The 26,533-nt window shown below is 37.6% G+C and overlaps 1 protein-coding gene and 1 pseudogene across 6 annotated transcripts in view; one reads left to right on the plus strand and one right to left on the minus strand.

The window, feature by feature from the left end:
* The window catches only part of GMCL1 (germ cell-less 1, spermatogenesis associated), a 51,725-nt gene extending 26,278 nt beyond the window's left edge, over positions 1–25,447 (plus strand). For 5 of the 6 annotated variants that reach the window (NM_178439.5, XM_011533033.3, XM_011533034.3 and 2 more), the window contains 5 exons: positions 5,341–5,410; positions 8,963–9,038; positions 13,782–13,927; positions 15,808–15,895; positions 22,972–25,447. In NM_178439.5, coding sequence (NP_848526.1) covers positions 5,341–5,410; positions 8,963–9,038; positions 13,782–13,927; positions 15,808–15,895; positions 22,972–23,067 — 476 coding nt within the window. In that variant the 3' untranslated portion in view covers positions 23,068–25,447. Of the gene's footprint in view, positions 1–5,340; positions 5,411–8,962; positions 9,039–11,761; positions 11,865–13,781; positions 13,928–15,807; positions 15,896–22,971 lie in introns of those variants that run through there. The other variant, XR_007079574.1, reaches the window with a different exon arrangement.
* Positions 17,628–17,882, minus strand: RPL23AP92 (ribosomal protein L23a pseudogene 92; annotated as a pseudogene).
* Positions 25,448–26,533: the final 1,086 nt, after the last annotated feature.

Below are 26,533 nucleotides of genomic sequence, written 5' to 3' on the forward strand. Positions count from 1 at the left end.
CTGTTCTAAAGTAGTTTAATTTAAGTGTGCCTGTGATGCAAGTGGATAAGCTTTATATTTTTGGATTGCAAGATGGGTACAAGTATTTCTAGTCTAAAATATTTTGTTCAGTATAAAATCAGAAAGAATTTAGATCCTGTATTTTTTGGCAGATTTCAGTCATTGTTACCGTATCTTACAGATAATTATTTATCACATTGTGAAGAGACAGAAGGAAGCCACCTAATTCACATTATTGAGATAGGCTGATATATGCTCTCAGTAGGAAGGTATCTTAGATTTGAAATTAGTTGAAATTATTTTGATTAATCAACCTAAAACTTGATCATTTTTCAGAAATAGTGCCAAACATGTGTTAACGTTAATCAAAGTTAGGCGTTTGGCAATATGGGGAATTTGGGTACATCTGTTTACCATCTTTAGGTGAAAAATTTAGAAGCATGTTTAATTAAAAGTTGAATTGGGACTTTGTATAGAAGCACTTTATTTTAGGATTCAACTGTGTCAAGCACAGTTCAACTCCATTATTTCATGGAATTAGGTTTATCTTAGGTCATTAGGTTCATTAACTGTCTTATTCCATACTCTTGTCATGCTTTCCTCCACTTGGATACCTCTGACCTATCTTGTTACTATTCCTCCCAGACCTTTCTACTATATGCCCTGGAACCAGGGACAACAAAATCTTCCATCTCTTCCCTCCTTTTTTTTTTTTTTTTTTTTTTTTTTTTAACTTCCAGAATAAGCTATTTTCCCTCCGTAGAAGACTTTCTGGCTCTCACACCCTACTAATATAGGGCCAGGAGACCACCGTCCTAGCCCCCTCAGTGTGCACTTTCCAAACCATTATTGCATGCCATCTGAGCCTGTTTTCTCTTCTGACCCCTAATCATTTCTTTGCATTCATTTAAGACTTAGACACTTATTTTACTGTCTATTTCTCCCCCAATCCAGTCACATAATATGTCCATATGAACAAATACATTTAATATCCCAGCCTCCTAGTAGTTTTTTGACCTCAGCTCTCAGCCTCCTAGTTATTTGACCTCTTTGCCAAACATTAGGCACTTTCTTCCTAAAACCTGGATATGCCATGAACCTTGTGAACCCAGAATTTCTCAGCATCAGAAACCTGGTAGTTTTCAGGCTATTATATAGCCTAGCATGTTCATAGCCTCATTCCCTTTTACACTGCTCTTTAACTTCCAACCCATTTTAAGCCCTTCATTTTCTGCCAGTCTTTCAAACCTCTCCTGTCTTTTCTTCCCTCTCAGGCTTGGATTTCATGATAGATCATGTTAGGTCACTCTCACAGTTGTCTTCAACTCTGTGTCCTTCACTTGGCAAAATCCTAGAACTAAATTAAACCTTCTTTGTTCCTATACCCTCTACTTTGTGCTGAGTACTGCAGATCATCCTACAGCTTTTGTATTGGTGTCACTGCAAATTCACATTTCAACACTAAGCTTGAACCTTGGGACTTCTTACACTACTTTTAGTTCATTATTTCTCTTTTTCATTTCCTTCAGCAATTGTATCAATTTCTGCCACTCTGTTCCAACTTTCTACCCAATTACCTCATTGTCAGTTTTGTGAAAATAAGTTACTGAAAATGAAAAGGTATGTAAATCCATGTAATAAACTCAGAAAATAGCTTCAGAACTAGATTTTGACGTTATTATACATAAGCATTTTTGAACCAGGCTTCTCCATAATTTTGTGTTAATATTTTATACCTAGATACTCTATACAGAATACTCTTATTTGTCCATGTAGGAATTTTTACTATGTAAATGTTTAGTCACTCATCTTCATTATCTACATCTAATTTATGTGTTTCATAAGTTGTTCAACTTGTAGGCTTAGTTTTTTGCTATAAGCCATATTAGTTTTAAGTGGATTCATGTTAGTGTATGTATACCTGAAGATACACTTTTCCCTTCACTTAAACAAAAAATACTGGGCAAATTAGGAAGTATCTTTTTTTTGCTTTTTAAAGTTTGTGAATGTAAGACATGAGATTTTCAAATAATATGGTTTTAGAGGGCCCTTTCCCATATTCTTTGTGTAAAACTAGGGAAATAATCTAAATAAATTCAATCTAATGTATCTCATTTATTCCATTGGGAAAATACTGGGTTTATATTCAAAACTGCTGTAGACTAGATCACAGCTGCAGATCAGATCCGTGACGCTGTCAAATACCACCTTGAAATGTCCATATTTTTTCCCCCTGCAGGCTGGGGAGGGGCAGGTGGGTAGAGACAGAGTCTTGCCATGTTACCCAGGCTGTTCTCAAACTTCTAGTCTTAAGCAATGCTTCTGCCTCGGTCTCCCAAAATGCTGGAATTACAGGCATGAGTCACTGTACCCAGCCCCTATTTTGAGTTTTTGTTTTGGACCTTGGTCTGATAAAGTTTAAAATAAGTGCGGAAACATATTACTATTTAGTCAAAATTTAGTCTACTTAGTCAAAGTTTCTTGAAGGCACTTTTTCAGAATCTTTCCAGCTAACAGTAGCTCTCTGCCAAAAAGGGTTCTGGCAAACTCTTCCTAGTGTTTCTTCCTTTTTGGAGATGATTGCATACAAACATATTGAAAACTCTGTGTAAAAGAACCTGCTTCACTTATTTTCATCCCATATTTTACCAGGGATTCTTTTTTTTTCCTTTTGCAATGCTATTAACATTGCATTTGAACTTGTGTTACATTGACTTATTTTTGGAATGCTGCTTTTAAGACATGGGACCTAGAATCCTTGAGCTACCAATGACCAGAAAGATTTCAAGTTTGACTTTTTATTCTTTTGGATTAAACTATGACAAGAGGAACAAAAATATGTACTCATGTTTTTAACTTGTTCAAATGCTTTTGGTTTTAAAGGAGGTTATGCAAAAATTGTTGGAATTTAAATTCTAAAACATTTTTGGCCGGGTGTGGTGGCTCACGCCTGTAATCCCAGCACTTTGGAAGGCCGAGGCAGGTGGATCATGAGGTAAGGAGATCGAGACCATCCTGACCAACATGGTGAAACTCCGTCTCTACTAAAATACAAAAAATAAGCCAGGTGTGGTGGCACATGCCTGTAATCCCAGCTACTCGGGAGGCTGAGGCAGAGGAATCGCTTGAACCTGGGAGGTGGAGGTTGCTGTGAACCCAGATCGCGCCACCACACTCCAGCCTGGTGACAGAGCAAGACTCTGTCTCAAAAAAAAAAAAAAAAAAAAAAATTTATGGGATACATCTAACATGATATTTGAGAATATTTACGTATGTCTGACTCTTTCATTCCAATTTTACAAATGAGTCATGAAATGCCATATGCTATCTCTAGATCAATGAGTTTCAAACTCCAGGTATTTTAATAGGTAGGGATCAGCTTTAAATATATATATATATATGAATTTTTTTAAATATATGTGTGTATGTGTGCTGAGTCATGTAATAGTTGCTACTAGTATTTACCTATGAAGACAAATTATCTGTACTAGACACTTAAATTCCTTATAATAGCAAGAATGTAATTTTGGAGGACCCTGAAAGAAAGATTCAAAAGTGTATTTAGGCCAGACATGGTGGCTCACGCCTGTAATCCCAGCACTTTAGGTGGCCGAAGCAGGAGACCCCTTCTCCATAAAAAATGGAAAAATTAGCTAGGCATGGTGGCAGACACCTATAGTCCCAGCTACTCTGGAGGCTGAGAGGAGAACTGCTTGAGCCCAGGAGTTCAAGGCTGCAGTTTACCAAGATAGGGCCACCGGACCCCAGCCTGGGCCACAGAGTGAGACCGTGTCTCTCTCTCTCTAAAAAAAAAAAAAAAAGTATATATGGGATGTTTTAAGGAAAGACACCAGTAAATCATTGGAAGTCACCGGATTACTTTTATTAAGTAGAGACCTAGGAAGTGACAATCCAGATTTTAATTGCACTACGATTTCTACCCCTCTTTTACATAGAGATTGAGAAATAATTTAAGAACTTAAAAAAAAATAGAAAAACTACCCATTCTAGTTGGGAATAAACAAGAGCAGAAAGATAAATAGTGCTGAGCCAATTCTATTTGTATTTATTTATTTTTTTTGAGGCAGGTTCTTGCTCTGTTGCCCAGGTTTTGAGTGCATTGGCATGTCCAGGGCTCGCTGCAGCCTTGATCTCTCAGACTCAAGAGATCTTTCTGCCTCAGCCTCCTGAGTAGCTGGGACTACAGGTGCACGCACCTAATTTTTGTGGTTTTGGAGAGATCAGGTCTCACTATGTTGCCCAGGCTGGTCTAGAACTCCTGGGCTCAAGTGATCCTCCTACCTCAGCCTCCCAAAGTGCTTGGGATTACAAGCATGAGCCATCTCACCTGGCCTACTCTTATTTTTAATCTGTTTTTATCTAAAATAGCTAATGTTTCCACTTACACAGGCTTATTTTGTGGGAAAAATATTTATTATTAAAGGAATGTCTGTAATTACAATTTTTATTCTATTTAGAATAATTTAAAATATTTTAATTTTTATGTTATCTAAATCTAATATTCTAGAATTATTTATTGAGTGTGCATGTTTCATCTACGAATTTAGGGATGGCTTATTTCCCAAAAAACCAATTAATTGTTTTTTTATGTTAATAATGGAAGAGTTTATTATTCAATTTTCTGTCAGAACTTCTGTAAACACTAAAAATATAGTTTCAGATATGATTTTTACAATTGAAAAATTAATATGAACTATGAAAGGGAAAACGTTAAACGCAAGAATATGCTTTTAACTATCCCAATTTAAATGTATGCAATGTAATAAGTACAGTCTAGCCTGAGACAAAGCTGTAAAACCTTTACCACTTTAAAGATCATTCAGCCATTATAGTATTTTTGTAAAATATAAGCTACCTACCAGTTTCGTTTGTTTGTTTGTTTGTCTGTCTGTTTGATTGTTTGAGACAGAGTCTTGCTCTGTCACACAGGCTGGAGTGCAGTGGCATGATCTTGGCTCCCTGCAACCTCCGCCTCCTGGGTTCAAGCGATTCTCCCGCCTCAGCCCCCCAAGTAGTTGGGATTACAGGCGCCCACCACCACACCCGGCTAATTTTTGTATTTTTAGTAGAGACGGGGTTTTGCCATGTTAGTCAGGCTGATCTCGAACTCCTGACCTCAGGTGATCCACCTGCCTTGGCCTCCCAAAGTGCTGGGATTATAGGCATGAGCCACCATGCTTGGCCTAAGCTACCTAATTTTTAAATTGCTATTTTAAACTTGTATTTAGAAATGGTAACAATTTTGTCAACTATGAATGTTTAAATCCTTTATGTTCTTCAGTCGTTATTTATTATTATTAATTTATTCTTACATTTCAGAATGGCTCTCTTCTGTGTATAAACAGCAGTGGTTTGCTATGCTGCGGGCAGAACAGGACAGTGAGGTGGGGTAAGTATATTATACCTTATCATTTTTCATTAAAAAAATTTGCTATGAATTTTTTAATGCATTCATTATGTTGAAAAATCATTAACAGTATTGAAAACTCAAGCTGTTGAAGTAAAGATCATATAATCACTTTTTATTATATTTTTGCAACATTATCAGTCTTATAAATGTCTTTCTGGTCAATTAGATAGTATAATGCAATTATGGAAATGTCATTTGCTTTATTAGTAAAATTGAACATGTAATCCATATATACTTTGTTTCACTTAGTATCATATGATTTTCTTTCAACATACTGAACTATTATTTGAGGTAATGCTTTCATAAAGCATAATTTTTATATTTATGTCTAGGTAAATCTGTTTTTCTTATGGTAGTATTGTCAAATTCTGATTAATGTAATAAATAGTTTTTGAAGATCTTTAAGTCTAAAATGAATTTAAAAACCATCCAGGCTGGGCACGGTGGCTCACGCCTGTAATCCCAGCACTTTGGGAGGCTGAGGTGGGAGGATCACTTGGGGTCAAGAGTTCGAGACCAGCCTGGCCAACATAGTGAAACCCCGTCTCTACTAAACCCTGGAAGTGGAGGTTGCGGTAAGCCAAAATTGCTCCACTGCACTTCCAAGCCTGGGGGATAAAGTGAGACTCAGTCTCAAAAAAACAAAACAAACAAACAAACAAAAAAACACCATCTGGTTACAGATACCTTCCCCAAAAACATATGACTCCCCCCACAAAACATTAATCCTCTTTCTTCATCTTAAAGGAAAGATTATTATAGTGCTTTGTAGTTCACAGAACTTTTATATTTGTGATTTGATCCTTCTGCTAGCTTCTTAATATATAGGTATTGTGGAGAGACTGAGTGTACAGAAAGACCTTCAAAGTTTAATTTTTTGCCCTGATCTCTTTGAACTCATTTTTATATACTAAATAATTTTTTTAAATAATGACCTAATTATAAGTTTTCATCCTAACAGTAAGTGTATGAAAGTATTACATAAATTCATGATGATTATGTCATTTTTATTATCCAGGATCCTAGTTTCTACTTTGATTATAATTATATATTTTTTCAAACATATTCCCAGTATATTTATCCAGCATAAATAATAGTAAGATTGTTGAGGCTGGGTGTGGTGGCTCACACCTGTAATCCCAGCACTTTGGGAGGCCGGGGTGGGTGGATCACCTGAGGTCAGGAGTTCGAGACAAGCCTGACCGAGATGGAGAAACCCTGTCTCTACTAAAAATACAAAATTAGCTGGGTGTGGTAGCGCATGCCTGTAATCCCAGCTACTCAGGAGGCTGAGGCAGGAGAATCGCTTGAACCCGGGAGGCGGAAGTTGCAGTGAGCCAAGATTGCGCCATTGCACTCCAGCCTGGGCAACAAGAGCAAAACTCCATCCCAAAAAAAAAAAAGATTGTTGAAATACAAATAATAAATTGAAATCAAAAAGTGAGCTATTTAATGGAATTGAGAACTGAAGCATTTTGTAGTATATGAAGTAACGATGAGCTATTTAATGGAATTCAGAACTGAAGCATTTTGTAGTGTATGAAGTAACTTATAAATCATCCTACTTCTTCTGTATATTCAATTTTTAAATTTTGGATGTTCTTTATTTTTCATGATTTTCCTCACCCATGTCCTTATTGAGGTAATACAGAGTCTCATCTAAGATACTGCACTAGAATAAGTCTTTAGTTTTTTGCCTTAAGAAGTACAGTCATTTTGGGGGAATTGGTTTCAGGACCCCTGCGTATACCAAAATCCACACATACTCTAGTCCCGCAGTTAGTTGACCCTGCAAAACCCACATATACGAAAAGTTGGCTCTCCATATACACAGATTTCACATCCTACAAATACTGCATTTTTGATCTGATTTTGGTTGAGAAAAATCTGTATAAATGGACCCAAGCAGTTCAAACCTGTTGTTCAAGGGTCAACTGTATATGATATATCCCCTCTTAGGAAATGTTCTGTTCAGCAGATACCAAGCATCTGCTCACTGCTGCAGGACTGCTAAAGTGAGGAAGACACTATATTCCCTGGATGCTAGGTTATAATCTGGTGTCAAATTTCCCTCTGGGCTTCTCCTCATAAAACTCTTGTCTATGTTGCCAAGAGGGTTATCTTTCTAAAACAGAAATAAAACTGTGTCACTTCTCTACTTAAATATGTCCAGGGATATTTGATGACAGTTAAGGGATTATAGTATTGCTGTTCAAGATTATTGAAGCTAGATGGTAAGAAAATTTGGCTCATACTATTTTCTCTGCTTTCATATGTTTGTAGTTTTTCGTAACAAAAAGTTTAAAAGTTACAGAATAAATGCTTGGGAACTTGTTACCTACAAGAGCAGTTGAAACTTTTTAGCATGATCTGTGGGGACTGTCAGCATTCTATCCCAGATGTCTTTAGCTTCCTCTCCTTTCATGTTCATCTGCACTAAATGTGCACTAAATTCTTATGTTCATATGCTGCAGCTGCATTAAATTCCTTTACATTTTGGTTTTCTGTTATGCTCCAGTTCCTTTTTATCCACTATTTCTTCTGCCTGGAATACTCTTACCCCTCCATAGAATTCACCCCTCACCTCCACCCCACCCAACAAGCTTCCACTCGGGCACAAATAATATTTACTCTCTAATGATCCCCCTCTAATCCTAGGCAATAAATCTGTACCTTCTTCATGTGCTTAACATCACAAACCACAAATTATTAATATTATTATAATTAACTGTAGTATAATTATTATTTATGTCTAGTTCCCTACTGAACTGAGCTCTTGGATATCAAGGATATGTTTTATTAGTCTTATTTACACTTATTTATTTATTGTATTTGTTTCATTATTTTATTATGTATTATATATGCTATTATTGTACCCAATTTCTAGGCATTTCATGTTGTGAATGAATATATGAATGAATGTATTATATTACTGTTATCATTTGGAATAATGATGCTAATTATAATACCATATTTATTACAACTTTAGATAACAGTATTTCTCTTAGTTGATTAAGGTTTTTAAACTAGGGAACCAAATAAAGACTTAACTGATAAAATTTTACAGCCATTTTCTATTAATATTGATTTTGCATAGTTACACTATATGAAAAATGGTTTGCATGTGAAACAAGTAATATTAAGTGGTAGGTGATATCAAGTCACATCTTATTTACAGAAATAATAGATTTTAGCTTATTTTACTTGTAGTTAGACTTTTACTTTTTTTTTTTTTTTTTTTTTTGGCAAATAGAATTTTTCAGGTTTTTTTTCCTCTACTCTGGTTTGGCTGAGCCCTAATAAAAGTAGTCCAGAAGTCAGGGCAATAAGTGAAACATAGAAGATATTAAATCTTTTTTATCTAGCAAAAATAATGGACTAAATTTAATCAACACTTTCTTATTTTTATCTGTACCACAAAAACTTATTTTTAAATCTGGTAGCAAGATTTTCTGTTCTTAACTCATAGTTCTTTTTTAATTATTAGTTGCATATTTTCTATGAACGTTCATATTTTATGTATATTTTTAGGCCTCAAGAAATCAATAAAGAAGAACTAGAGGGAAACAGCATGAGGTGTGGTAGAAAGCTTGCCAAAGATGGTGAAGTAAGTATGGGTTGTGACTGTTAATATTCTTATACAAATTGTATTATCAGCACATCCTGCACCTGTAAGTAGTAATCATGACACCTGTCATACCTCAGAAGAGCTTGTTTGATACACTTTCTGTAGCATGATCTGCTGGGAAAGTAGTTACAGCCACCACACTCAGTAGTGATTGATTACTTGGCCTTGTATGAGAATGCTGAACTTAAATTTTGAGTTCAGATAAGACATACAAGAAGAGGGTCCCTTAGCAATCCAGAAATTAAGATAAAGAAGAAATTGTGAGGGATCTGTTACATAGTCTTAAAAGTGATTCTGTGTTACAGTTGTCCTAAATCAAAGACATTCAAATCCATTGATTGTTACCCACATTAGGAATTACCTTTTCTTGGCCAGGTGCGGTGGCTCACGCCTATAATCCCAGCACTTTGGAAGGCTGAGATGGGCGGATCACTTGAGGCCAGGAGTTCAAGACCAGCCTGGCCAACATGGTGAAACCCCATCTCTACTAAAAATACAGAAGTTAGCCAGGCATGGTGGTGCATGCCTGTAAACCCAGCTACCAGGGAGGCTGAGGCACGAGAATCACCTGAACTCGGGAGGCAGAGGTTGCAGTAAGCCGAGATCATGCCACTGCACTCCAGCCTGGGCGACAAAGTAAGACTCCATCTCAAAAAAAAAAAGATATTTTTTCATTACCACCCAATATAAATGTATATAAGTGAAAGAAAAGTATTTAAAAACAATACTTACCCCTGTGCATCCAGAAATTATTTTTTCTATTTAATACTTTTATTTTATGTTATTTGTTAGAGACAGGCTCTCCCTCTGTCACCCAACCTGGAGTGCAGTGGCGTGACCACAGCTCACTGCAGCCTTTAACTCCCAGGCTCAAGCACTTCTCCCATCCCAGCCTCCCAAATAGCTGGGATTGTAAGCATGAGCCACCATGCCCAGCCTTCTATTTAATATTTTTTTAAAAAAACTGATTGTGGCTGGGCACGGCGGCTCATGCCTGTAATTCCAGCACTTTGGGAGACTGAGGCAGGCAGATCATGAGGTCAGGAGATCAAGACCATCCTGGCTAACATGGTGAAACCCTGTCTCTACTAAAAATACAAAAATTCTCTGGGCGTAGTGGTGTATGCCTGTAGTCCTAGCTACTCGGAAGGCTGAGGCAGGAGATTGCTTGAACTCGTAAGGCAGACGTTGCAGTGAGTCAAGATTGTGACACTGCACTTCAGCCTGGTGACAGAGCGAGTCTCCATCTCAAGAAAAAAAAAAAAAAACTGATTGTATCTTATTAAATTGATTTTACAATCCACTAATGAGACATGAACTACATTTTTAAATATTCCCCCCTAACTAATCATAATTTTTGTTTTTCAAAAAAAATCAACCTTATATAGATACCTATTTGGTTATTTCTCTCCCAAACTTTTCCTCATTTTGACTTTATTTATTTTTAATTTTTAAAAGTTGATTATTTTACGTTCACATTGATTGACTGATGGACAGTGTCTCACTGTGTCGCCCAGGTTGGAGTGCAGTGGCACAATCATCGCTCACTGCAGCCTCAATGCTCTGGACTAAAAGCAACAGTCTCTGGAGTAGCTGAGACTACAGACACGTGTCACCACAGCCAGCTAATTTTATTTTTTTACTTTTTGTAGAGTTGGGGGTCTCCCTGTGTTGCCCAGGCTAGTCTCGAATTAGTGGGCTCAAGAGATCTTCCTGCCTTAGCCTCCCAAAGTGCTAGAATTATAGGCATGAGCCACCACACCCAGCCTATGTTTGCCTTTGTATTATGATAAATGTTCAGAGTATAAAAGAATAGTTTTCTTTAGTTCTCATTCTTCCTTGTTGCTGCTTTCAGATCTTCTTGTTACTTTGAAGCAAATTCTCCTACTATACCACCTACTACTCTTATTGTGGCCATAATTCACTGAGTTCACTGCCTTTCTTTTCTTTTCTTTCTTTTTTTTTTGAGACAGAGTCTCACTCTGTTGCCCAGGCTGGAGTGTAGTGGCATGATCATGACTCACTGAAGCCTTGACTTCCTGGGCTCAAGTGATCCTCCCACCTGAGCCTCCCAAGTAGCTGGGACTACAAGAATGCACCACCACGCCTGGCTAATTTTTTAAAATTTTTGTAGAGACGAGGTCTCACTATGTTGCCCAGGCTGTTCTCAGACTCCTGGGCTCAAGTGGTCCTCCTACCTTGGCCTCCCAAATTGTTGAGATTATAGGCATGAGCCACCACGTCCAGCCCTCACTACCTTTCTTTACCACTACTCTTATTCTCGGTCGTGTTGATTTCAATATCTCTGTTCCCTGACCTTCCTTCCCCCATGCTCTTGTGCTCCACCCTACCTCAGGCATCCATTCCTGTGAGCATACCCTCAATTTTTGCATTATTAATTACTACACCACCTTCAAAATCTCCATTTCAGGCATCCCGTTTTCAGACCCCACCTCGTCTTTCTAGCTCATTCTCTCTAGCACCTGGACTCCAACAATTTTTTAACTCCATTCTGGATATACAATACATTGTTTTTACAACCTTTCCCTATCACCTTTCTGACCACATTTCTACTTCTTATTTTGCTTGACTTATATTTTATGTTCCATCGTAAAATTGGTCCCTTGCTTATACTCTTTTAACTTTTCTTTTTCCTCATTGACATGTTAAACTCACCTGGCTAAACCCCAACTCTTGTCAAGGGTTGCACTCCATGCCTGCATCCAGACAGATGAATGTGATTAAAGACAAACACCGTACCCCATTGGGTTCCACTTGAATGTGGTAACCATGAACTTGAAGTAGGTTAGTGCTGCATCATGATCTGTCTGCATTTTCCTAGTGAATTGATCCTCCCATTAGCTGAGGTAACTCATACCTTCTCTCCTTAAAAGGGCAATGCTCCCACCCTTATTCTTATCTGATGGCCTTGCTGCCTACTGCAATGAAAAGAGAATCTGTACATCATCTTACCAGTAGTTCTGCCAGTCTACCTGCACCTGTAGCTATGCGCTATGCATTTCATCTTATTAGAAAAATGAACTGCCTACTTCTATCTTAGTCCATTCCCTCTCTTTGTACTGGACTCTATCCATGCTCACCTATTCAAAAGCTTTGCTCCAGCCAGGCACAGTGGTATGCACCTGCAATTCCAGCTACTTGGGAGGCTTAGGTGGAAAAATTGCTTGAACCCAGGAGTTAGAGTTCAGCCTGGGCAATATAACGAGACCCTGTCTCTTTAAAAAAAAAAAAGCTTTGCCCTTACAGTTATCACCTCTACTAGGGCAGAAACTGTATGTTATTTACTGCTATGATTCCATTGCTTAGAGGAGTGCCTGGCATATAATATGTGCTCAATAAATATCAGTTAAATACTGAATTGCAATTCAGGGTGTCAGCCAAACACTTGAAGCCCTAACTACTTCTCTGTATCACACTACCTTATCTGATACTCTCACATTAACTATTAGCTGATAGAATAAACAAACTCGTGAACCCCATGATGATATTTAAATAACCCAGTTGTGTGTTACTTGAGTTAGAGTATTTTATTTTTATTTTTATTTTTATTTTTTTTTATTCTTTTTTGTATTTTTAGTAGAGATGGGGTTTCGCCATGTTGGCCAGGCTGTTTTTGAACCTCAGACCTCAGGTGATCCACCCGCCTCGGCCTCCCAAAGTGCTGGGATTACAGGCGTGAGCCACCACACCCAGCCCTTAAGAGTATTTTTAAAGCAAGGTGGATTTTAATGGGCTCTTAATTACCTTAGTGCTCTAGAAACTCTTAGTGCTCTAAGCTATATACCCACTTAGAGTTGCAGTGAAAAGCCTTATTATTGCTGGGTGCAGTGGCTCACGCCTGTAATCCCAGCGCTTTGGGAGGCCGAGGCGTGTGGATCACAAGGTCAGCAGTTCAAGACCAGCCTGGCCAACATAGTGAAACCCCGTCTCTACTCAAAATACAAAAAAAAAAGGCCGGGCACAGTGGCTTACACTTTGTAGTCCCAGCACTTTGGGAGGCCGAGGCGGGCGGATCACCTGAGGTCGGGAGTTCGAGACCAGCCTGACCAACATGGAAAAACCCCGTCTCTACTAAAAATACAAAATTAGCCAGGCTTGGCGCATGCCTGTAATCCCAGCTACTCAGGAGGCTGAGGCAGGAGAATCGCTTGAACCCGGGAGGTGGAGGTTGTGGTGAGCCAAGATCATGCCATTGCACTCCAGCCTGGGCAACTAGAGCAAACCTCTGTCTCAAAAAAAAAAAAAAAAAAATTAGCCGGGCGTGGTGGCAGGGACCTGTAGTCCCAGCTACTTGGGAGGCTGAGGCAGGAGAATCGCTTGAACCCGGGAGGTGGAGGTTGCAGTGAGCCAAGATCATGCCACTGCACTCCAGCCTGAGTGACAGAATGAGACTCTGTCTCAAAAAAAAAAAAAAAAAAAAAAAGCCTTATTATTTATGGTAGAATTGCAGTATGGAGAGATAAGGAAACTGATCATGAAGAGGAAAGTAGCTTAGAGAATTATGATCATTAAGGGCAGCTTTTCTAGCTTAGATAAATAGTTTTGGGTGGTAAGCCTTAAGAAAAAGTCACTGACAAAAAGTCGACCACCCATGAGGGAAATACTTGGAATGAGTTAGAGACAAAAAGACATTTTGAATTTTTTATTTTCTACTTGCTAATATGATAAACTGAAATAAGTCTTCTCTCTTGTATTTTTTAGTACTGCTGGCGTTGGACAGGTTTTAACTTCGGCTTCGACCTACTTGTAACTTACACCAATCGATACATCATTTTCAAACGCAATACACTGAATCAGCCATGTAGCGGATCTGTCAGTTTACAGCCTCGAAGGAGCATAGCATTTAGGTAGGATGAGATTTCCCCACCCCACTCCTCCTCACTCCAGAGAAAATATAAGAAATAAAACCTTGATAATTTACACCAACATTAGTAGAACTTTGGTAAGCTACAGTATATGTGGAAGTGGTAGGAAATGACGAGGCTCCATTCCTGTGAAATCTATTGTTAGTAATCAGAATCATAGGATCTAGTATGTCAGGGAGAATGAATAGGCTGGAATATATACCAGTAGGGAATATCAGCCTTGAAGTCGTTGCCTTGTTGCTATTCCTAGCAAATAAAAGATCCAGACTGTTGAAATATGTAGCAAGGTATGTTTCCAGGAAAACACATATTATCCTTAACTTTTTAAAGGATTTAATATGTTAAATTTTGCCCAGTAGTTGCTGGCAATCTTTTTCTGAGAGGATACCAGAAGCTGACAAATTGGACAGTAGCTTAATGAACATGATTTAAAAGTCATATATTTATACTTACCTTACACCAAATACAAAAATTAACTTAAAATGGATCAAAGATCTAAGCATAAGAACTGCAACTATGAAACTCTTGGAAGAAAACATAGGGGAAAAGCTTCATAACAATTGATTTGGCAGTGATTTCTTCCATAAGACACCCAAGCACAGGCAACAAAAGAAGCAGTAGATAAAATTGGACTTCATCAAAATCACAAACTTGTGTATCAGAGGACAGTGTCAAGACAGTGAAAAGGCAACCCATGGAATGAGAGCAGATATTTGTAACGCTACATTTGATAAGACATTAATACCCAGAATATATAGAAAACTCCTACAACTCTATAATTTAAAAAGAAAACTCAACTCAGCTCAAAAATGGGCCAAAGACTTCCATAAACATTTCTCCAAAGAAGATATATAAATGGCTAATAAACACATGAAAAGATGTTCAACATTACTAATTAGGGACATACAAACCAAAATCACAATGAGCTATCACTTCACACCTATTAGGATAGCTATTAGTAAAAACAGAATAGAAAAAAAACAACAAAAGTAACAGGTGTTGGCAAGGATGTGGAGTATTTAGAACCCTTGTGTACTGCTCGTGGCCATGTAAAATGGCACAGCCACTATGGAGCATGGTATGACACTTCCTCAAAAAAATTAAACAGAATTACCATATGATCCAGCAGTTTCTCTTCTATAGACCAGAAGAATTGAAAATAGGGACTTAAACAGATATTTTTGTATACTTATGTTCATAACAGCATTATTCACAATAGCCAAAAGGTGGAAGCAACCCACATGTTCACTGACAGATGCTAGAGAAACAAAATGTGGTATATACATAAAATAGAACATTATTTAGCCTTGAAAAGGAAGCAAATTCTCATACATGCTAAACATGGATGAACCTGGAAGACATGCCAAGTGAAATAAGCCACTCACAAAGCACAAATATTGTAAGATTCCACTCATACGAAGTACCTAGAGTAGACAAATTCATAGGTACAGAGGATACACTGGTGGTTGCCAGGGCCTGAGGGAAGGGAAAGTGGGGAGTTAGTGTTTAATGGGTAAGGAGCTTCAGCGAGGGAAAATTAAAATGTTCTAGAGATGGGTGCAGAACAATGTGGAAATATATTTAATGCCACAGAACTATATACTTTAAAATGGTTAAAATGATAAATGTTACGTATATTTTACCACAATAAAAACATTTATAAATGATTTCTCTTGGCCAGATATGTATAATAGCACAGGCTTGTCACTGAATGCAGTCAGATTACAGTTTGAAAAGACTTCCTAAAAGTCTTTTATCAAATAAAAAACAGAGGAAAAAGTAAATATGAAAGTAAGGAAGAGCTTGTTTAATCTGTGGTTTAAAAATCTTGTGTTTATTTTTTATTTTTTTTTTAATCCTAGATTACGTTTGGCTTCTTTTGATAGTAGTGGAAAACTAATATGTAGTAGAACAACTGGCTATCAAATACTTACACTTGAAAAGGATCAGGTATGTTCGATTATCTTCTGGTATGTCATCATAATATTTGTCTTTTGAATCCTCTTTTGAAAATTCTTAAGTAGAATTAACATTAAAGTGATGGCATTTTGACCTAAAAGTTGGTTTAAAAGTCTTTTGAAGGTAAAGATGAAAGTACCACATTCACTTATGCATAATTGACCCCATCCCAATGGAAGCATAATTAGGAGAAAAAAAGAAAACACTGTTTGAGGGGCAGGGAAACACTGATTATAAGGAAATAATTGTTTATCCTGAATATCAGCAGCACTAAAATTCATTCCTAAAATTTTAGGAATCTTAAGTGCTTTATCCATTGTGTACATAGTGCATTTATTTATACATTCACAGCAGGCATCTTAAAGACAATCCTGTATGTCTCCATAGCTCCGAATATCATAAGAGCATTATTCTCTAGCCCATTAGGTTCGTAAGATGGCAAACTCTGCAATGTTCCCCAGATTATCTCCAAAGCCATTTATTTATTCATACATCACACACATGGAGAAGTTTCAAAGTGTCATGATGAGAAAGTAGACCATTTTTAAAAGTAAAACTGAAAGCTGTTAAAATATTGAGGAACTTTATTTCTATTAAAAGTAATCATCATTCCAAAGGGCATAATGTTTTATTAAAGGATTCAAAGCCTGTTATAGTTTACATAAATTATGAGAAGTTAGTAGTTTTCCTCAGACTGAAGAGACTATCATAGAACATCCTTAGCATTGCAAGTAACCCCGGAAGTGATCATTGTAACCTCACATGCCCTATATGAGAACTTCTTTTAACAGCATTCTTACAGAGGGGGTCATCCACCCATTGTTGAAACTCTAACTGACCCCCATCTTACATGAAAGGTAATATGTAGGAATGTCCATTTCAAGGCAGGTATATAATGAGAAAGTCCAAATCTGCCTCCATCAGAACTCTCTGTTGGTCCTTCTTGTAACCTCTGCAGCTGAACAGACAATGACTATCTTTATCTTCTACCTGAAACTTCATGAAAAATACTGTCATGGCTCAAACCCAGCCAGAGACCTAAAAAAGCACCAGGCCAAGATAATAGTTGTATTCCCATGTTCCTTCAGCAAACATTTGTGTCCCCACCATGTGCTTGGTTCTCAGCTAGAAGTAGAAGAAATAAAGACAGGCTTGTGTTAATATAGCCTAGTGTAAGTAGCATGATAGAATTAGCTCAGAGTGTGCAACCTTGAGGGAGAAGACTCTGACCTGTAACTGAGCAGCTGCCGTGGTTGGGGGTGGTTATTGGAGGAGGAGGAGAAAGAAAGACAGCTCAGGGAAAACATCCTCTCCTGGAAAAGTGTTAAAGTGAATGCATACCTGAACCAAGCCTCAAATGGTGAGTAAGATTTCCGGAAGCAAGGGAATACATGGGTCATATTCAAGGAACTGAAAGATGGTTGGAAGAGTTCAGTATAACTAGAGCCAGGGCATGAGGGCTGTGGATGGAGTTTGGGAGATTTACTTTGGGAGTTGTCTCCGTGTTTTATATAGGTTATAGATGTTGTCGAAAAAATAGAAAATATGAGTCAGCTGAAACAACAATCATACATGTACCACTCAGATACATTGCTGAGTTTTTCCTTCACCTGTATCATTTTTGCAAAATTGGATCACAGTAGGTTAGCTATTTTGTAACCTGCTTTTTTTTTTAATGGTGAAAAACATATATATTTAGAATTTGCCAGCTGGATTCAACTTAGATGATCCCAATTTTTTGGCAGCCTCTAAAAGCAGCATGCTCAGGAGCCAGCTGAACATGGGCTTTCTTCTCTCCATCAGCCCTGATCACGGTGTTGATCTTGGCCACATTGGTGTCATAGAGCTCCTCCACAGCCTGTTTGATCTTATGCTTTTTGACCTCGACATCCACAATGAACACAAGTGCATTGTTGTCCTCTGTCTTCTTCATGGCCAAGTCAGTGGCCTGGGAGAACTTGTTGGTCGCATAGTGGTCAGGCCTGGGGGAGAGGCAAAATGGGGTCACCTGGCCTGGGCCCAGTAGAAGAAAGGCTTGGTCCTCTTTCAGAGCCCAAGGCCAGGTGAGCCTAGGTGCATCAGACAGTGAGGTAGTAATTGTAACCTTTTTTTTTTTTTTTCACTTTGTTGTACATAGCTTTTTTTGGTCAATAAATATATATTCACAGCATCATTTTTATGAACGGCATAATATTAGTTGTTTTGGCTATACCGTAACTTAGATAATTCCTCTTTATTGGATAAAGTTGTTTCTCATTTTTTTTCATTACTATAGGAAATATACATATATCTTTGTCCATTTTTATGATATTTTTAAAGCATAAATTCCAAGAAGTAGAATTCTTGTTGCATGGTGCATACAATTTTCTAATGGCCAAATTGCCCTCCAAAGCTACTGTCCAATTTATACTTCCCCCTGGCAGCAGTACAGGAGAGTATACCCAATATTGTATCTTATTCTTTTTCATCTCTATCCCAGCGTAGTAAATGTGAAAACAAATATTTGTTTTAATTTTCATTTCTTTTTGTTTGTTTGTTTTGAGACAGAGTCTTGCTCTGTCGCCCAGGCTGGAGTGCACTAATTTTTAGTAGAGACAGGATTTCACCATGTTAGCCAGGCTGGTCTTGAACTTCTGGCCTCAAGTAATCCACCTGCCTTGGCCTCCCAAAGTGCTGGGATTACAGGTGTGAGCCACCGCGCCTGGCCCTTAATTTTCAATTTTCATTTCTTTGGTTACTGTATTGTTGGGTTTTTTTATGCTTATTGAACGTATCATCTCATGTAAACTGACAGCTTATATTGTTCCTGTTTAATTTTTTATTAAAATTTCATTTTTTTCTTGCTAATTTTTAACAGCTTTTATATATTAAAAATACATTTGTGATACTCTATAGTTTTTACTTTTTTTTTTTTTTCCGAGACAGGTTGTCACTCTGTCACTCAGGCTGGAGTGCAATGGTACAATCTTGGCTCACTGCAGCTTCCACCTCCTGGGCCCAACCTTTCCACGCACCTCAGCCTCACAAGTAGCTGAGACTACAGGCTCGCACCACCATGCCCAGCTAACTTTTTTGTATTTTTTTATAGAGACGAGGTTTTGCCACGTTGCCTGGGCTTGTCTGGAATTCCTAGGCTCAAGTGATCCACCTGCCTCCGCCTCCCAAAGTGCTGGGATTACAGGCATGAGCCACCAGGCCCAAACAGTTTTTACATTTTTGTCATTTGTCTTTTCAACCTTCAAAACAATCTATCTTTTTCTTTTATGATTTCTTTTTTTTGGTGTTATCCTTAGGCCTCCATCTTACTAGGATTATATAAATAGTCATCTATATATTCTTCTGTTCTTTTTATGGCTTAATTTTTTACTTTGGAGTATTTGACGATATATCTGAAATGTACTGGATGTATCAATGTATTTGAAATGCCTTATTGTACATGAAATACTTATAAACTTGCTTTCATTTCTGGACTTTTTGTTTTATTGATTTCTTTGTTATGAAGACAAGGCATTGTTTTAATTAGGCTAACTTTAAAATGCATTTTAATATTTAGTTACGCAAAACCACCTTCATTTTTCTTTTTTTCAAAAATCTCTCAGTTCTTTGTGCATGATTATTCTCCTGTATGGGATGTAGGATCATTTTATCAAGTTTCCTTGCAAAAATTCCTATGGGGATTTTAATTTATATGATTAAATATGTAGAGTAGTTTGTGGACCATTGATGTCTTCCTTTCTGGAATATGGTATTTTCTACATTTACGTAGGTCTTCCCTTATGTCTGTCTCTAAAATTTGTAGTTTTTCCCATATTGTTCCTGTGTATTTCCTGGAAGTATAACACTTAGTATTTTACATTTCTTTTTTTTTTTTTGAAACGGAGTCTTGTTCTGTCGCCAGGCTGGAATGCAGTGGCGTGATCTCAGCTCACTGCAACCTCCACCTCCCGGGTTCAAGCGATTCCCCTGCCTCAGCCTCCCAAGTAGCTGGGATTATAGGCACATGCCACCACGCCCAGCTTTTTTGTATTTTAGTAGAGACAGGGTTTCACTCTGTTGGCCAAGATGGTCTCGATCTCCTGACCTCGTGATCCGCCCACCTCAGGCTCCCAAAGTGCTGGGGTTACAGGTGTAAGCCACCGCACCCAGCCAGTATTTTACATTTCAGTTGCTAATATGAAATGAATCATTTGTTCTAATAGTTTTTGATAATGTAAGAAAGTTAGTGATTTTTGTATATTTATTTTGTAACTGTCCATCTTATAAGACCATGCTAAATGGATTTTCACTATAGAAGGTTCCGTCAGACAGCAATGTGTAGGAAGGATTAAAGATATGATAATGGCAATAAAACAATTTATGATTATATAGCTATAATTCAGATTAAAAGTGATAAGAACCTTAAAGAATGTAGCAATGAAGAGGAAAATATTGATGGGTTCTGGAAATAAAGTGGTGCAATTGAGAATTTGATTCTTAATTGTGTGTGTGCATGAGGAAATGTCAGATGGTTTTCTGATTTGAGCAATTTAATTTACAGTAGTGGTTTTACCTGAGATTTGAATTATAGGAAGGAAAATGAACATGACATAGTGTTGGTGATGGTGAAGAGATGATGAATTCTGTTTAGGGCATGTTTAATTTGAGAGCATCAAGGTGAAAATTTGATAGGCTGGTGAATAATGGATTTGGAGTTTACAAGTAATGCCTGAACTAGAAATAATAATTGGATGAGATAATGTACAGGAAATGTGTAGAGAATATGACAGGATAGAACCCTAGGGACCACTGGTATTTAAGAGATGGACAAAAAAGGTAACCTGGTGAGACATTGAAAAGCTGGGATGGAGAATCAAAGCCAAATTGCAGGCTTGGCGTGGTAGCTCATGCCTGTAATCCCAGCACTTTGGGAGACCAAGGCCAGAGGATTGCTTGAGACCAGGAGTTCAAGACCAGCCCTGGCAACTTAGCAAAACCCTATCTATACAAAAAATTGAAAAATTAGCCGGGCGTGGTGGCATGTGCCTGTGGTACCACCTACTTGGAAGCTGAGGCAGGAAGATCACTTGAGCCTGGGAGGCTGAGGCTGCAATGAGCCATGATCATGCCACCGCACTCCAGCCTGGGTGACAGAGTCAGACCCTGTCTCAAAACAAAAACAGACAGACAAAAAACACTACCAACAACAACAAATACCCAGAAATTTATTTAATTGTCTGGAAGTAGAAATGGGGACCTAGGAAGTTGCTGCTGCTCTGCTGCTGCTATATGTGGGCTCCACAGATTCCATCCACAATGGAATAAGGAAAATAGAACTTTGCTATAAAGGTACTTCAATGCAAATGTAGATGCAGATTGAACCTTTAGGTGAAACAACAGATTTGATGAAGCTCGGATCGACCTATCCTGTTTGGGAATGGAGAGTGGGGATTAATACAATTTAATATTCAAAAATTGGTGTATCCATTCAGCCAAGTGATATCCACGTGCCTTCCTTCTTTCTCCAGAGTTGGCCCTTTGACCTACCCTTCCCTGCCTCAATCTTAACTGTATTCAAATACTAGAAGGCTAATCTTCCTCAGAGCCTTTTAGTTATGGAACAGAATCTTGATTTTTATCATCAGATATACATATCATCAAAACATTTGTCCTCAACAAATTTGGTAAATGTGCCTTCACCCAGATTATTGATATAAATTTTGACTAGTTCAGGATGTCTCAAGCATCTGAAGACCAACCATGCTTTGGCATAATTCCTCTCTGGTGACACTTGTTAGCACAGTCTAGGTGATGGCCTCCCCTGATTTTGTTCACTGATGTCTTTTTATAATACCACTTTCCCTCGTACAGAGAGAGAGATTGTGTGTTTGTGTGTGTGTGTGTGTGTGTGTGTGTGAGACATTTGTACTCTCTACCTTCTTTATTCAAATTTATCTTCTTGTTCCCTCAACACAGAAGCTGTGTCTAGTGAGTCTGCTTCAGTCACACAGATATTCTAGTTTTAGTTCCTCTTCATGCAGGAATACATGTCTCAGTAAAAAATTAAAACTTTGGATTTAAACAGTGTTTAATAGTATCTTATCCAAAATAAATAAAGTGTAACTAATGCATACTATTGCAGAGAGCATATCCCAGGCATTTAAAACGTAGGAATTCTCATTTTAGTGTTTCTTCTTTTACTCTGAGGATTGATTCTATTTACCAAATGCTTCTAGTAAAGGATATATGAGGTTCCAAACAGAGATCTGTAGCATCAGGGATGTTATATTTGTGTAGTGTCAGCTCCTGTCTCTGGGAGTTCTGAGCATTCTTGTGTGTGTTGATGTAACTGAACCTGAAATTGCTTTTCCATGATAATGTATTTTATGTTTCAGGAGACAAATTACATGTTTGTCATAGGGACAGTGGGAAATGTCAATAGTAGGAACCCTGCTTTTTGATGATGATAATGACTCCCGACCTTCATCTGGGTGATTTGCTGTACCCAACGGCCATCAGTAATTGAAGCCAAGTAGCCAGGCACAGTGGCACCTGCCTGTAGTCCCAGCTACTCAGGAGGCTGAGGCGGGAGGATGAGGCAGGAAGATCTCTTGAGCCCAGGAGTTCAAGGCCAGCTTGGGCAATATAGAAAGACCCTATCTCATTTTTAAAAATAATTAATTAATTTTGTAAAAGGAAATAAATTTTTTTAAAAATTGAAGCCCAGTGAGAAGTTTATGTATTTCTAGACATTGTATCTGTTGACAAAATATGTAAGTATTTGATAGAAATTTTTGCAATAATGAAAATAACTACCATTATTGAGTACTTAATAGATAGCTGGCTTTGCAAAACCCCCTGTGTATTATCTCTTGTAATCCTCCTTTAAGTCAGGTACTCTTACTGTCCCCATCTTACAGTGAGGAAGCTGCATTTGACAAGGTCACACAGCTAATGGGTGGGAGTTTGGAGAGTGGAGTTGTGGATCTCAGACTCAGGACACTATCTCCTTTGGTTCACTCAGTTCAACAGTTTGGTTTTTTGTTTTTATTTTATCTAATTGTCATTGAATCTACAAATCTGTCTTATAGGAACAAGTGGTGATGAACTTGGACAGCAGGCTTCTGATCTTCCCTTTATATATCTGCTGTAACTTCTTGTATATATCACCAGAAAAAAAGAATTGAAAATAATCGTCACCCAGAAAATCCAGAAAACTGAAGATTTCATCAGTTGGAAACAGTAGCACTTTGAAAACTTTTTAGGCCAGCTTTAATTTAATGGCCCTACTGATATTCACATCGAAGGTGACTAACAATGACAAAGGCCTTATGAACTGTACAGACAATACAGAAGATTATTCTTATCCTCATTGCATTTCTATGCATATGCGTAAGAACATTTTAAAGCCAAGAAAATATCTGTCAAACCATTTCTGTTAGAACGATGTCAATTCATGCTTTTAATTTAGCATCAATAGAAAATTGCTGTAGGTAAATCTCACATTTATCTGCAACAAAATATAGATTTAATTTTTAGCTTAAACTTTGTTTCTACCTTATGTTAGTGGACCTCAGTTATCCATCTGTAAATTTCTTTTTATTTGGCTAAAATAATCTAAAAGAATAATTTGGTTGGCCAATTAGAAATGCCTTTTTCAGTTGGTGTATTGAAAGCTTTCCTTTAACATTTTCACCTGCTCATTGTGATTCCTCCTTTTAGTCTAATATCTTTCCAGGTCATACTTGTTTTTAATCATTAAATATTTTCTTCCTGGTTTTGGAGACTAAGCTGATAAACTTTTTTTAAAACTTAAGCATTGTCATTGCTATTTTTTTTAATTTGACTTTCCTAGGAGTTTAAGAACAGTGAAAGTTAGCTTTGCACCTTCAAATGATCTTGAATGAGGGAAAAATCAGTTTGATTCCAAGGATATTTCTTGCCTTACATGGTCTTTTCTTTGACAGTCTGTACACCTTTATTATTAGGTTTTGAATTATTTATGTACCAGATATTATAGTTTTAAACATTTTAATATTCTCTGATCTTTAGAATTATTTATGTTCAAATTTTAGTTGGGAACTTTGTTTCCTACTTAAGCTCAGGACTTTTTACCCTCTGAATTGAGTGCCTTTGAGTGACACATGCTAATAGAAATTTCATAGTAAATGTAAATAAGGTCAGAGGATGTAATATGGAGCCTGATGATGAAGCATTAATGTAAAAATGGAACTTATTTTTGTCAAAAATGAGATGTACACTTGTCATGATTTATGTATGTTGACCTTTTGTGTTTATTACTGTTTTGAAAATAGCCATGTTCATTTTCTTTCCAGTTAGAGTAAGTACTTCTGTGGTTAATGTATATTTTTATTATGGTTTTTAAAATGGGAATCATTTTTATGTATCTGTGCAAATAATAAATGCCCATTTGGAAAAAGAGTAAGCTCTTACATAAAATGGACCAAAAAATCCCCCTTAATTGAAACCAAAATTTTTTCTTTCTAGTTAGGTTTTTTTCCCAACTCCTTTTAACTTTTGGAATTTATTAATAATTTTTTTCTTTTTTAATGATATGCCCATAGGTTCATAAATTGCTTTTGTTCTTTTAAAATTCATCCATTTGGTTTAACTTAAAGGAACCTTTTAAATGCCTCACCCTTGACCCTCAGAGCTGGAATTTAAATGTTTCTAATACAGTGATTTGGCTGTTATCAAGAGGTTACATTTCAGCTGGGTGTCAGCCAGGTGTGGTGGCTCACACTTGTAAGCCCAGCACTTTGGGAGGCCGAGGCAGGCAGATCATCTGAGGTCAGGAGTTTAAGATCAGCCATGACCAACATGGTGAAACCCCATCTCTATTAAATACACAAAATAAAAATTAGCCAGGCATGGTGGCACACGCCTGTCATCTCAGCTACTCAGGAGGCTGAGGCAGGAGAATCACTTGAACCCAGGAGGCAGAGGTTGCAGTGAGTGGAGATTGCGCCATTGCACTCCAACCTAGGCGACAGAGTGAGACTCCGTCTCAAAAAAAAAAAAAAAAAAAAAGAGGCTACTGTACTTATTTTTATATTTGACTACATTAGGTCTTTTTCACGGGAAGCTGTTGTTTTCTTTCCGTCTCATTACTGTATAAGAGTTTCCTTACCCTTTATGTATTGAAAAATATATAAATTCCAAACTTAAATTATTTGGATAATTAAGTTTTTGCAGATCTTGGAAGTAAAGATAATGTTTTGATCATATTAATGAATAAAGTTAACTGTTTCATTTCACTTACATAAGTTAACTGGCCAAATTGGATTTATATGTGGTTTCATCCATTGGTTCTGTCCTGGCCAAGTTGCTTATGTCATCCATAGACAGGATAATTCTTTCTTCAATCACAAGTAGGTTAATGTTCTTATTTGAGAAGTTGATAATTGTCAGGTAGTAATTCACACTGGTAGTAAAGATGTGCTTTTGTTTTCTTACCAAATATTTTTATGTGTTTCCAGAGTTCTTTTCAATAGAAATATTTTCAATAAAGTGTTAATAGTGTAAGATAAAGTATTGTATAAACCATGGTTTGTGAAAGCTTTGTGTTTTGTCAGCTTTTGTCTTACAGCCTCTACTATTTTTTTATGCTAGAGCTAGAAAACAATATTTAATTTTAAGAATGATTTGTGTTTGTCTATTAGTAAGGAAGAGGTCTTTAAGAGAATATGTCCTAGAGTTTCACACTAAGTTATTAAGAAGGGATATAAATACCTTTCCTTTAAAAAAAAATGGTTTGGCATGGAAACTTAGCAAGATAGGCAAAACCATGTGGAGAACAGTGGTAGTCACTGTTTTGTTTTGTTATGTTTTGTTTTTAAGGCGGAGTCTCGCTGTGTCGCCAGGCTGGAGTGCAGTGGCGCGATCTCAGCTCACTGCAACCTCTGCCTCCTGGGTTCAAGCAATTCTCCTGCCTCAGCCTCCTGAGTAGCTGGGACCACAGGTGCACACCACCACGCCCAGCTTATTTTTGTATTTTTAGTAGAGACGGGGTTTCACCATATTGGCCAGGAAGGTCTCGATCTCTTGACCACCATGTTGGCCAGGAAGGTCTCCATCTCTTGACCTCGTGATCCGCCCGCCTTGGCCTCCCAAAGTACTGGGATCACAGGCATGAGCCACTGCCCGGCCTGTTTTGTTTTGTTTTGTTTTTTTTATGAAGTGTTTCACAGCTAACATTTTATCTAATTTCAAGTCTTTCAATAGGATTACCATCATATGTGAGCAATTTTCAACATCAAATGCAAAAATAGGGTTACTGGAGGCTGGGCACAGTGGCTCACACCTGTAATCCCAGCACTTTGGGAGGCCGAGATGGGCAGATCACCTGCGGTCAGGAGTTCGAGACCAGCCTTACTAACATGGTGAAACCCCGTCTCTACTAAAAATACAAAAATTAGCTGGGCGTAGTGGCGGGCACCTGTAATCCCAGCTACTCGGGAGGCTGAAGCAGGAGAATCGCTTGAATCTGGGAGGCAGAGGTTGCAGTGAGCCGAGATCGCACCATTGCACTCCAGCCTGGGTGACAGAGTAAGACTCCATCTCAAAAAATACATTAAAAAAATAGGGTTACTGAAGATCATTGTGGCCACTTAAGTGTAAGTTAATTAAAAT

The sequence above is a fragment of the Homo sapiens genome, chromosome 2, assembly GCF_000001405.40.
Source record: "Homo sapiens chromosome 2, GRCh38.p14 Primary Assembly".
NCBI lineage: Eukaryota > Metazoa > Chordata > Mammalia > Primates > Hominidae > Homo > Homo sapiens.